Here is a 12,971-nt window from a genome sequence, read left to right on the forward strand (position 1 = left end):
TGCAAATTGATTTGCAAGATGTTGATGGAAAATGTTTAAGGTTTATTTTATAGAGATGTTAAGGAAGATAGTAGGAATTATAATATTGAAGTGGTTGGAATAGCAATTCTATAATAAAGGGAACAGATCTTCTTGAGGGAAAATACTAGCTACAATTTTCCCATTTGGGGTAAATATCAGTATGTTTACATTACTGTTCTTCTCACATTTTATTCTAAGTTATTGACGATGAAGAAACACAATACAAGCTAAATTTATCCTCATGAATGATGTTATAGGAAGGTTTCTTTTCATGCAGTATATTAGTTTTCTAGGACTTCCATAAGAAAGTTCCACAGACCAGGTGACTTAAACAACAAAGATTTATTTTCTCACGGTTCTGGAGGCTGGAAATCTGAGATCAAGGGGTGAGCACGGCTGGTTCCTCCTGAAGCCTCTCTCGTAGCCTTGTAGATGCCATCTTCTCCCTGTGTCCTCATGTGGTCGTCCCTCTGTGTGTGTCTGTGTCCTCATCTCTTCTTCTTATGAGATGTCTTAGTCAATTTCAGGCTTCTGTAACATAATACCATAGACTTAATGGCTTACAAGCAACAGACACTTATTCTCCACAGTCCTGGAGGTTGGAATTCCAAGATCAAGGTGTGGGCAGGGCTGGTTCCTCTCGAGGCCTCTCTCCTGAGCTTGTAGACACTGTCTTCTCCCTGTGTCCTCAAATGGTTGTCCCTCTGTGTGTATCTGTCTCCTCTTCTTATGAGATGGCTTAGTCCATTTCAGGCTGCTATAACAGCACACCATAGACTGGGTGGTTTACAAACAGCAGACATTTATTCTCCCACAGTCCTGGAGGCTGGAAGTCTAAGCTCAAGGTATGGGAAGGGTTGGCTCCTCCTAAAGCTTCTCTCCTGAGCTTGTAGATGCTGTCTTCTCCCTTTGTCCTCACAGGGTCGTCCCTGTATTTATGTCTGTGTCCTAATATTCTCTTCTTATAAAGACCCCAGTCCTATTGGATTGGTGCCCATCTTAGTGACCTCATTTTACCTTAATCACCTCTTTAAAGACCTTATCTCCAAATACAGTGACATTCTGAGGTCCCAATGTTTAGGATTTAACATATAAATTTTGAGGAAACACAATTCAGCCTGTAACATGCAGTAAAGAATTTTATATGGAAAATCCTTTCAGTTCCTTCAGCCTCTGAGCTCCCGATTCCATATGCACTTAGATAATTTCCTAACATGCACATATGGTATTAGAGTTATTTTTTTTACCCTGATTGTACAATTAACATTTACACAGAGAGTTGCTGCTGTGAGTTGTAGATAAGTTCTCAGACTCATCTATATCACCACTTTATTTCGATCTTGCGACGGACAGATTGATTCTGAATGTCCCAGAGGAGAGACCATAATCAACACCCCCATATTCCCGCCAAGCTTGCTCACTCATCCTAGGGGAGGCTGACATTGCAAAGGGTTCCTGATTGAGAACCACAATGTCTTGACCAGCTGCACTTTGCACTGGGCTTCAGCTGACTTCCAGAGGGCAGACCTGTGGACCAACAGAAAGTAGATGAAAATAGAGAGGAACTAAGATGGATCTCTCTGCGTCCTCCAAAATTTCCCTTCTGCCCCATCTCACTTCCCCCTTGGCTCGGCCATGTTTATAAAAAGAGCTGTGATAACCTCAGGTCCTAACAACGCTGATGGCACTTTTGTAAAAAGGACACTGCATGGCAGAATCTAGATTTTGTAAAAGTATTTGGATACCTCGAGGTGCAAGTCATAAAGTCATTAAACTTGTTTTCGTTGCAGCATGGTTCGATGCATAAAAAGGTTGTGTGAAAGGCAAGCTTATTTTTGGGTTTGTGTTGTGAATCATCTGCTCTCACCCTGGGGTCCTGCACGATATCATCTTATTTCTTTTTCATGAAAAGGAAACAAATTAGACCCAGTTCAATCATCCTGATTCTCCTGTTCGAGCTTACCTTTCTGTCTCTCTGCTGATGGCAGCAGAATCCATGACATCTCAAAAGACCCTGTTTCCAGATAAGGTCATATTTTGAGGTTCTGGGTGATGTAAATGTCAGGGAGACCCCATTCAACCCATTGCAGAATGTCTCTTTCTTTTTCGTTGCCATCTTTCTATGGCTCTCACCTCGTACTGACCCCTCCAAGGAGCTGAGAAGTCGTCTTCTGCAGGAAAAAGGAGAAAGTCTGCTATTCTCGGCACAGCCTGTTATTTTTAGAGTGACACTGTTCACAGAGCCCAGGCCCAGACAGCCTTGGGATAAACAATCTGTAGGATCCCATGTCAGCCGCAGAAATGAGAACAAAAGTGAAAAACTCTAGCAACAGGATTAGGAACCTGAGCCACAGCCCCAAGGCTCATCCTTCTCTGATTAACGGGGCTAACTGCAAAATATCCAGGTGTTTTGTTGCTTTAATCAGGTATTGTTTTTCGTCTTAAACGTAATAAGCTCAGCAGCACTGTTGATCTGAGTTTTCTCTCATTTTTAGCTTGTGTCCCCAGGTTGGAAGACTACTTAGCAATGCCCCTTCCCTGCTGTGATTCTTTCTAGAAGCTGGGTCACCGGCATCCTCAGTGCCTGTCCATCAGAGGGATGCAGGCACAAAAGGTTTGTTCAAGGGCTGCCTGCCAAGTCCGGGGAGGCCGTCCCAGCATTGAGCTCACATTCAAGCAGATTATCAACGCTCTCAGGGACACTGATACATGCCAAAGAAATGTTTACAGAATGTCTTGAGATCTCATTGCTGGCGGTGATAAGATGGTGGTGGTGGTGGTGGTGGTGGTGGTGGCGGCGGCAGCTACACTCCAGTCACTGCAGAAAAGCAAAGAGAGATCCAATGAGTGTTTTGGCTGAGGAAGAGGGATTGAGCTTGACCTGTGTGCAAAGCAGAGGGGAGGTGACTTAATAGCTCCTTTCATCTCTAATGGGTATTCATTCAAGTCAACCAGGATAACACAAGTGTATGCACAAATGTATCACCGGGATGGATGAAGATGTGAAAAAAACCAGTGACATTTGCCTGCCTTTCTGGAAGTCGATACCAAAGAAAACGTAGTAATCATAGTGATTATGGTAAATCTGTGTGCATAGTTAGTGATTTTTCTTTCTAGGATTGAAAATGGAAACTCCGCCTTCTCTCCTCCCCTGGGGTTAGAAAGTATGCATACTTTGATTTCTCATCATCCTGGCTTCCTTCTTCAGAATGCTGTTGCTCAAAAGCTTTGTCTGTCATCAGGTTGAACATGTTTTGACCTTGAAGCATTACTTTGATCTTAAGGTTAAGTCTCTGATCTTCTTGTTTGAATCCAGGAACATAATGTGTTTAGATCCAGATGATTAGATCCCACAATCACCACCTTCAATTCACTCATTCTTTCCTGCATCCATTCATTCAATATTTGTCTAGCATGTGCTACTCATAAAGCAACCATGTGTATCAGGGGTTTACTAAGTGTAGGAGATGTTCTAGAGGCTAGAAAGGCATTGTTAAGCAAGGCAGATGGTTATGAGTGATGACTTCCTCTGAGGTAGAGAGCACAAGGCTATGGGGAAATAAAACAATGTGGCCTTGGTCTGTCTGGGAGGCAGAGAGCAGGACTAGAGAGTGTGACTTTTAGCATAAGCCTAAGCAATATCCAGGAGCAAGAGACAGGAGGAGAAGGCACTGGCATTGTTGGTGGAGTTGGCAGCAAATCCAAGACCATGAGTGAAATGGTTTGGATTTGCATCCCCATCTAAATCTCATGTTGAATTTTAATCCCCAGTGTAGGAGGTGGGGCCTGGTGGGAGGTGACTGAATCATGGGGGTGGTTTCTAATAGTTTAGCACCATCCTCCTAGTGCTGTCTCATCATAGAGTTTTCATGAGATCTGGTTATTTAAAAGTGTGCAGCACCTCCCCCTTCACACTCTCTTCCTCCTGCTTCCACCACGTAAGATGTGCTTGCTACCCCTTCACCTTCTGCCATCATAGAAAGTTTCCCGAAGCCTCCACAGCCATGCTTCCTGTACAGCCTGTGGAACTGTGAGTCAATTAAACCTCTTTTCTTCATAAATTACCTAGTCTCAGGTAGTTCTCTATAGCAATGCAAGAATAAACATATACAATGAGATATGTTAGGATAAGCTAGGTTTTGCTGCTGAAATAAAATCCATGAGACATAAATAGCCACAGCTTCAAATGTTATTAATTTCTCACATCACTGTCTGATGGGGGCTGGGCCATCTCCCTAGGCCTTATAGCTTTGCCGTCTGGAACTCATGACCTCACAGGGGACACCTCACAAGGAAAGAGACAGAAGAAAAAGGAGTATTGACTACTCACTGCCTGCATGTAGAAATGCCACATGTGCCTTCTGCTCACATCTCACCAGGCAGAACTAGTACTTGGTGCTATGTAATTGTGGGACAGTCTGAGAAATATAGGAAACCACATGATATCTGGTAATCTGTCAGAGCTACACTATTTCTAGCACAAACCAGGAAGAAGCTAGCTACATTGGAAGACTGAAAGCCAACCTGAATGACTAGGGCAACGAACAGAGGAGAGACAGCATCATAAAATGAGTTTGGAACCAGAATGGAAGACCACGCCACGCAGTGTCTTAAGGCCACATTGCTGAGTACTTTAAGGGTAATGGGAGGAGAGCAGAGATGGACAGGGATTGGTTTCTTAGGTCTGAAAATATCTTAAGTGTACAAGAGTAGATCTAGAGGTTACAATCATTGACTACTGATGACAATACATAGGCTAAAATGCTCTACAAACAAGACAATCAGTAAAACTTCATCATTCCGAAACACATCAACAAAACTTTGTAATTCAGAAGTAAATCAGCATCCTATTCAATGTCAGTAGGTTATGCATTAATCAGTATGTCAACAGTCTGAGAAACTTATGTTAAGATTCTTTGCTCAGAGATGGAGTCTCCGTGCATCACAAGACCTTCTTAAGGCAGGTTAGTTTGGAAGCCTGCTGATATAGTTTGGATGTGTTTTGCCACCCAAATTTTATATGGAAATGTAATCTCCAACATTGGAGGTGGGGCCTAGTGGGAGGTGACTTGATCATGGGGGTGGATTTCTTATAAATGGTTTAGCCCCATTCACCAAGTGTTGTCATTGTGATAGTGAGCGAGTTCTCATGATATCTGGGTGTTTGAAAGTGTGTCGCATCTCCCCCACTCTCTTTCTTCCTCCTGCTCCAGCCATGTAACATGCCTGCTCCCCCTTCACCTTCTGCCACGATTGAAAGTATCCTGAGGCCTCACCAGAAGCTGTCATGCTTCTTATACAACCTACAGAACCATAAGCCACTTAAACCTTTTTTAAAAAAATTACTCACTCTCAGGTATTTCTTTATAGAAATGCAAGAACAGACTCACACAGAAAATTGGTGTTGGAGGTGGGGCCTGGTGGGAGGTGATTGAATCATGGAGGTGGGTTTCTTATGAATGATTTAGCACCATCCACTTTGGTGCTGCCTTCATAATAGTGAGTTCACATCAGATCTGGTTGTTTAAAAGTGTGTAACACCTCCCCTCTGGCTCTCTTGCTGCTGTTCTGGCCATGTGATATGCCTGCTCCCCCTTCACATTCTGCCATGATTGTAAGTTTCCCAAGGCCTCCCCAGTGACTGAGCAGATTCCAGCGTTGTGCTTCCTGTACAACCTGTAGAACTATGAGCCAGTTAAACCTCTCTTCTTTATATATTACCCAGTCTCAGGTATGTCTTTATAGCAGTGTGAGAATGGGCTAATACCCCTGCCAAATGTGACCTGCAGTTTATCAAAGTCAACAAATTAAAAAGCTGCAGGGGTGATACAAGTGAGAGGAGGTAAGATTGTGGATGCAGTCCATGGCTGTGGGCATCAACATAGAGAGAAAAGAACTTGTTGGAGGGATATTAAAGATAAGCATGACCTGAGACTAATAACTGGGTTTGGGGCATGCGGCAGGCAGAATAAAAATGCACATGTCCTAATCCTTGGAGCTTGTGAATACGCAACCTTTCTTGTCAAAAGGGAGTTTGCAGATGTGATTAAGTTAAGGTTCCTGAGATGGGAAGTTGATCCTGGATTAGCCAGGTGGCCCTGTGTCATCACAAGGGTCCTTATAAGAAAGAGGCAAGAGGGTCAGAGTCAGAGAGAGATTTGAAGGTGCTATTGATATTGCAGAAGAATGATCAATAGCATCTTCAAATCTGATCTTGAAGAAGGAAAGCATGAGCCAGGGAATGCTGGCAGCCTATAGACATTGGAAGTGACAAGGAAACAGATTTTTCCCTACAGTTTGTAGAAAGAAACACTGCTATTTTAGTCTGTTTTCACACTGATGATAAAGACATATCCCAAACTGGGTAATTTATAAACAAAAAGACATTTAATGGACTCACAGTTCAACATGGCTGGGGAGGCCTCACAATCATGGCAGAAGGCAAAAGGAACATCTTACATGGTGGCAGGCAAGTGAGAGTTTGTGCAGGGAAACTCCCCTTTATAAAACCATCAGATCTCATGAGACTTATTCACTATCATGAGAACAGCATGGGAAAGACCTGCTTGCATGATTCAGTTACCTCCCACTGGGTCGTCCCACAACACATGAGAATTGTGGGAGCTACACTTCAAGATGAAATTTCGGTGGGGACACAGCCAAATCATATCGACTGCCCTGCCTACACCTTGATGTTAACCCAAGCAGGACTTTTCATCTCCAAAACAGTAAAATAGTACTTGGGTGTTTTTTAAAGCCCCTAAGTTTATGGTAGTTGGTTACCGCAGCCACAGGAAGAAAATACAGGACAGATGAGGAGAGAGACAGCAGGTTGATTCCCAGGTTGTGGAGGACAACTACATGGATGGTGGATCTCTCACCTGGTCCTTCCACAGAGGAGTAGTTCTGGGAATAAATACATATTTTCTTTTGCACACCTTGCATTTGTAACCATGACAGAGCAATCTGTTTCAACTTTTATGTAACAAAGTTATGAGTTGTTTTTCAGTTATCATGCATCCCCAGTTTAAGGTCACCTAACCTGGGCATTCCCAGATGAACCAAGGTGGAACCTAAGTCCTTGGAACAAGGAATGGGAACTGAATTAAGAAGCAGACACTGCATGGCAGGATCCACGATCCAATCAGATTGAGCCCTGGTGTCACCACATGGCGGAATCCAGTCAGATGACGCCTCCCACCCTCACCTCATTGCAAGATCCAATCACATCATGCCTCATTATTCCATGTTTATAAAACCCAACCTATCTCCCAATCAGGGAGACAGATTTGAGCATTTCCTCCTGTCTCCTTTCCTTGCCAGTTGAGTTGCAATAAAGCTTTTCTTTTCTCAAAAGCCAGTGTCATGGAATTGGCTTCTTTTTGCGTCAGACAAGAGCCCATTGATTGCTCAGTAACACATTTGAGATGGAAATGGATGGTAGACAATTGGCTAGAAATCCAGAGTTCTGAGGCCAAGTTCTCTGCGCTGAGGACAGAGAAGAGCTGGTGTTCAAGCTGTTTGACCATGGGTCTGAATGAATCTGTGACTGCCTTCCGGCCTTAGAAAAACAAAATAGCCATATCCGTGCAGGCTATTAATCAACTGGGTGTGCAAGTCCTTCACACAACAGCCAACACGCACACCATCCTTATAGATGGTGCAGATGAACACATAGCCATTGAGAACATCTTGCAGAACATCAATGTTTAGTGTACCAACTATGAACAACACACTATTTTTTTACTTCAGATCTCATAGCATTTTCCTCTGGTTCCTTCAAATATTTTAATCTATTGGTCTTTCTCCTTCTCAACATGTTTCCTAGTTTTCTATAACCATTGCCAAGTCCTCTGCATCTTAAAATAAACTCCCTCTCATTTTGATAGTATGGCTTCCATCAGTCACATTAGTGAGAGTCATTGCAGAGGTGACAGGGAAGGACAGAATTCAAACAGCATTTGGTGTAGGAGAAAATAAGCCAGAGCTATCATAAGGAGAGTGTAGAGGAGGAAAAATGAATTCCTGGGCACCAGTCTATGGAGATGCAGCAAAATCACCAAGGGGGGTGTTTTCTTTGATTTTATTTTCCTCTGAGTTGTGGATTTTAGGTTTGTTGAACAATGGCTGGGTGTGGTGGCTCACGCCTGTAATCCCAGCACTTTGGGAAGCTGAGGTGGGTGGATCACGAGGTCAGGAGATCAAGACCATCCTGGCTAACACGGTGAAACCCCATCTCTACTAAAAATACAAAAAATCAGCCAGGCGTGGTGGCAGGCGCCTGTAGTCCCAGCTACTCGGGAGGCTGAGGCAGGAGAATGGCGTGAACCTGGGAGGCAGAGCTTGCAGTGAGCCGAGATCGCACCACTGCACTCCAGCCTGGGCGACATAGTGAGACTCTGTCTCAAAAAAAAAGAAAAGGTTTGTTGAACAATGAAACCAAGTCTGGTGATGCATGTATTCATTTCCAAGCAAAATCTAGTGCAGGGATTTTGGGGGTGGGGGGGTGGGGCAGGTAGGGGAAAGTGGGCAGGTTTATTTATTCCTAACACCATTTATGCACATGACACTGCTTTGAATAGATTCAGCCTCCTTTATACCTGGGAAACCACTCCCTATCCAGTTAGCACCAGTTGCCAGAAAGCTCTATTGTATAATATCAAACTCAATCTGATCGTTAATGTTACTTACCTCAGCCTTGTGCCTCCAAGAGTTTATAGATCTTGAAATAAAAGACATCTTGTAGGTTGTAAGGTTGTCTACATTTCCTCATCCTAAGAAAAAGAGAAAAGTGGCAAAGAAGGAAGAGGAGGAGGAAGAAGAAAAGGAGGAGGAGGAGGTGGAGGCTTGGTCATAACACTTAGCCTCTGTGGCTAAGAAAGTTCAGTTCCAGCCTGAAACCTATTCGGCATGTTGAATAATGTTCTACTTCTTTGAGTTCATGTTATCACTGGACTATCTTATTGTTTTAGGATGCGTATGGCTGATACTAAATTCTTATTCCATTCCTTGAGTACTAAGGTTTCGTGAAGTAATTTGAACACAAAAGTCCACTAACAGATTGCTTCTATTATTGCTGTAACCTGAGCAGTATTGAGTTTTCCTTCTTTCTAAGGCAGACATTGGCAAATGATGGTACTGGTCCAACCCAGCCTGCTTCTGTTTTTGTAAATGAAATTTTATGGACATGAAGTCATGACCATTTGTTTACACATTGCCTGTTGCTGTTTTCATGCTGTAGAAGTAGATTTGAGAAATTGTGGAGACCCCATGGCCCCAAGAGCCTAAAATACACATCCTCTGGCCCTTCACCAAAAACATTTGTTAGTTCCTGCTGTAGAAGATCAATAGTCTTGTGGAGCAAAGTGTGTAGCAAAACAGATTCCTCGTCTGTGATATGCTTGCTGTTTAATATTTTTATGACTACCATGATATCGACTAAGTAAGGAAATAATTGAGAGAAAATCACAAGCCATTCATGAGTACTAAAGAAAAGATTTAAAAGAGAGAAAGGAAGGAAGGAAGGAGGAGAAAGAAAGGAAGAGGAAGGAAGAAAGGAAGGAGGGGAAGAGGAAGGGAGGGAGGGAAGGAAAAAAGGAGGAAGGGAAAGAAGGAGGAAGGGAGGATGGGAGGAAGTGAAGAAAAGAAGGAAGGAGGGAAGGAAGGAAAGAAGAAGGGAGGGAAGGAAGGAAGGAATGGAGGGAAGGAAGGAAGGAAAGAAGGGAGGGAAGGAAGAAAGGAAGGAAGAAGGAAGGAAGGATGGGAGGGAGGAAAGGTGGGAGGGAAGGAAGGAGGGAGGGAGGGAAGAAAGGAAGGAGGGAGGGAAGGAAGTAAGGAAGGAAGGGAGGGAGGGAAGGAAGGAAGGAGGGAAGGAAGGAGGGATGGAGGAAAGGAAGGAAGGAAGGAAGGAAGGGAGGGAGGGAAGGAAGGAAGGAGGGAAGGAAGGAGGGAGGGAGGGAAGGAAGGAAGGAGGGAGGGAAGGAAGGAAGGAGAAAGGGAAGGAGGAGGGAGAAAGGGAAGGAAGGAGGGAGGGAGGGAAGGATGGAAAGAGGGAAGGAAGGAAGAAGGAATGGAGGGACAGAAGGAAGGAGGGAGAAAAGGAAGAAAGGAAGGAAAGAAGGAAGGAAGGAAGCAAGGAAGGGAGAGAGAAAGGAAGATGCCATACCAAGAGCAGTGAGACCATGTAGAATTCTACCCTAAAGATGAACAATAAAATATGCAAGAAAAAGTGTTTACTTTCATAACATAATTCTCTTTCCTACATATAAAATGTCTGTCTGGACCACTAGATTTAAAAAAAAAAAAAAAAAAAAAACTTCTCCTACTTATGTTCACATACAGAGTTTCTTTCAGTATTCTGACTTCAATTTCATTCTCCAACATTTTTTCTCTGTGATATGGGACTATTTAAGTCTAACATCTGCAGTTCTTGGAAAAGGCGATTGTTTCAAACATATCTAATAACATCTTATGGGTCTTCACAATTGAAGAGGAACTATATTTTACTTTGAATATGCTGACATATATTAACATGGTTAGGATTTGTGTCCCCAACCAAATCTCATCTTGAATCGTAATCCCCATAATCCCCACGTGTCAAAGGAGAGACCAGGTGGAGGTAATTGTATCGTGGGGTCAGATTCCCCCATGCTGTTCTCATGAACATGCTGTTCTCAAGTGAGTTCTCATGAGATCTGATGGTTTTATAAGAGGCTCTTCCCCTTTGCTCAGAACTTCTCCTTCCTGTCACCTTGTAAAGAAGGTGCCTTGCTTCCCTTTTGCCTTCCGCCACGATTGTAAGTTTCTGGAAGCCTCCAGAAGCCTCATGTTAAACTGTGAGTCAATTAAACCTCTTCCCTTTAAATATTACCCAGGCTCAGGCAGTTCTTCATAGCTGTATGAAAATGGACTAATATATTCAGATAGAATTTGGATGTTAGTTATCTGTATTTACAGTGAAATAGTTTGGCTCTGTGTCCCCACCCAAATCTCATGTTGAGTTTTAATCCCCAGTGTTGGGGGAGAGGCCTGTTGGGAGGTGATTAAATCATGGGGGTGGATTTCTCCCTTGCTATTCTCATGATAGAGTTCTCACAAGATCTGGTTGTTTTAAAGTGTGTAGCACTTCCTCCTTCACCGTATCTCTTTCTTCCAGGCCATGTGAAGATGGACCTACCTCCCCTTTGCCTTCTCCAATAATTGTAAGTTTCCTGAAGCCTCCCCAGAAGCAGAAGTCTGTACAACCTGCAGAACCACGAACACAATTAAACCTCTTTTCCTTATAAATTACCCAGTCTCAGGTATTTTTTTCACAGCAGTGTGAAAACAGGCTAATACATACAGCATGAATTTTGACATGATTTGACTTCCTTTTGAAATTTGATAACATATGTTAACACAGCCCACTCCAGCCCTTCTCTGAGAATGACCTGCTGGCCTTCATACCTATATTTCTGGGACATACACAGCATGAAACCACTTGGGTATTTATGCTAGGTCTGACCTATAAATTTTAGTGATTTCATATTGCCTCTAATAAGTTAAGATGCAGTGACTACCTTTCCACAGTGGTTTCCAGTTGCTATCCAAGTTTCATTGTAGGCTATGTCAATGCTGAGAGGTGAATATCAGTTCAGAGGACTTTGCTAGATATCTTTCTTTTTTCTTTTTCATTCTTTCACCTTCTGCTCTGCGCATGATAATACCCTTCAATAATGCAAAATGGTGCAATAGTTGTTCTTCAGCAATGATTCTGCCAGACCTTAACAACCATAATCTTTAGCAACAAGTTCAGGAAGAATTACACTTTCAACATTTCACAAGGTCATGGAGTTAATACTTATATCCATTTTTCTTCATTTGTCATGAACATCCTAACTGTTGTATATTACCAGACCATCAAAATTTGTCCTATTAAAATGCATATTAGAAAATTTAATATTCAAAGGATAATGGAGTAATTTTTTTCCATTTCTGGAAAGTGTACAATAGGAATCAGTTATTCAATGCTGATATAAGAAAAAAAAACTCACTTACTCTATGAAAATAAGCAAGTGATCATAGACAAACATACATGGGGCCTGAGGCTGGAGTGTGGGTTGAAAAGAAGGTAACAATGTGCAGTGTAATACAAGGTTAGAGTGAGCAGACTATGGTTAACTTAGACCAGGGACTACATGTCCTTTTTCATCAAGGCTGCCTTAGGCACAGAGAACTGTCCACAAGGTCCCTGATGTCTACAAACTTCCCAGTTCTCCGTTGTTTTTGTTACAAAATTAATTTTTTTAATGAAGAAAAATACAAACATTACTGAAAGACGTAGAAGACACAAATATAAATGAAGTCATATGGCATGATTTTGGATGAGACTTTTCGATATTGTTAACATGTTAGATATTTCAGAGTTAGCATATCAGGTTTGACACAACACTAATGAAAACCACAATGGAATTTTGCTCTGTTCTTTAGATTAAGAAGTGATTTTTCTGATCATCTGAAAGAACAAACATACAAGCACAGTCATGGCAATTTGAGTAAAAAGATCAATACAGGAAGAGAGAGGAAGATTTGAATTATCTTGGTATAAATTTCAAATTATTAAAATCATGTTATAGTATAATAGCTGTGTGGTGACTGATTATGCAAAAAATGAAGTAGCCAAATAAAAAACAAATGAAAAAGCAAAAAAGCAAAAGCGTATTGGATTGCCTTGTAATGCAAGGCTATAAGCATTTGGATTAATTCTTTAGGAAAAAAAATTCATTTCTTACCTAATTGAACCCCAGGATTAAATATAGTTGTTAGGAGTCCCTCTTCCAGTTCAAGAAAGAATATCACTCTCATCTTAATAAACAAAACAATAGATATTTGTTAAAAAGATGTTTTAAGTTAAAAAAATCATAGTTTCTTAAACATTTGTGGTTTTTTAGGTTTGTTTTCGGTTTTGTTTC

The 12,971-nt window shown here is 42.0% G+C and overlaps 1 long non-coding RNA gene across 1 annotated transcript; it reads right to left on the reverse strand.

Annotated features, from left to right (window-relative positions):
• Positions 1-344: 344 nt before the first annotated feature.
• Positions 345-3,308, reverse strand: LOC124905240 (uncharacterized). Its single transcript, XR_007068385.1, has 2 exons — positions 1,985-3,308; positions 345-1,548 (listed from the first exon to the last, which is right to left on the reverse strand). It is a non-coding gene; the product is annotated as an uncharacterized LOC124905240 (long non-coding RNA).
• Positions 3,309-12,971: the final 9,663 nt, after the last annotated feature.

The sequence above is a fragment of the Homo sapiens genome, chromosome X (assembly GCF_000001405.40).
Source record: "Homo sapiens chromosome X, GRCh38.p14 Primary Assembly".
In the NCBI taxonomy this organism is placed as follows: domain Eukaryota; kingdom Metazoa; phylum Chordata; class Mammalia; order Primates; family Hominidae; genus Homo; species Homo sapiens.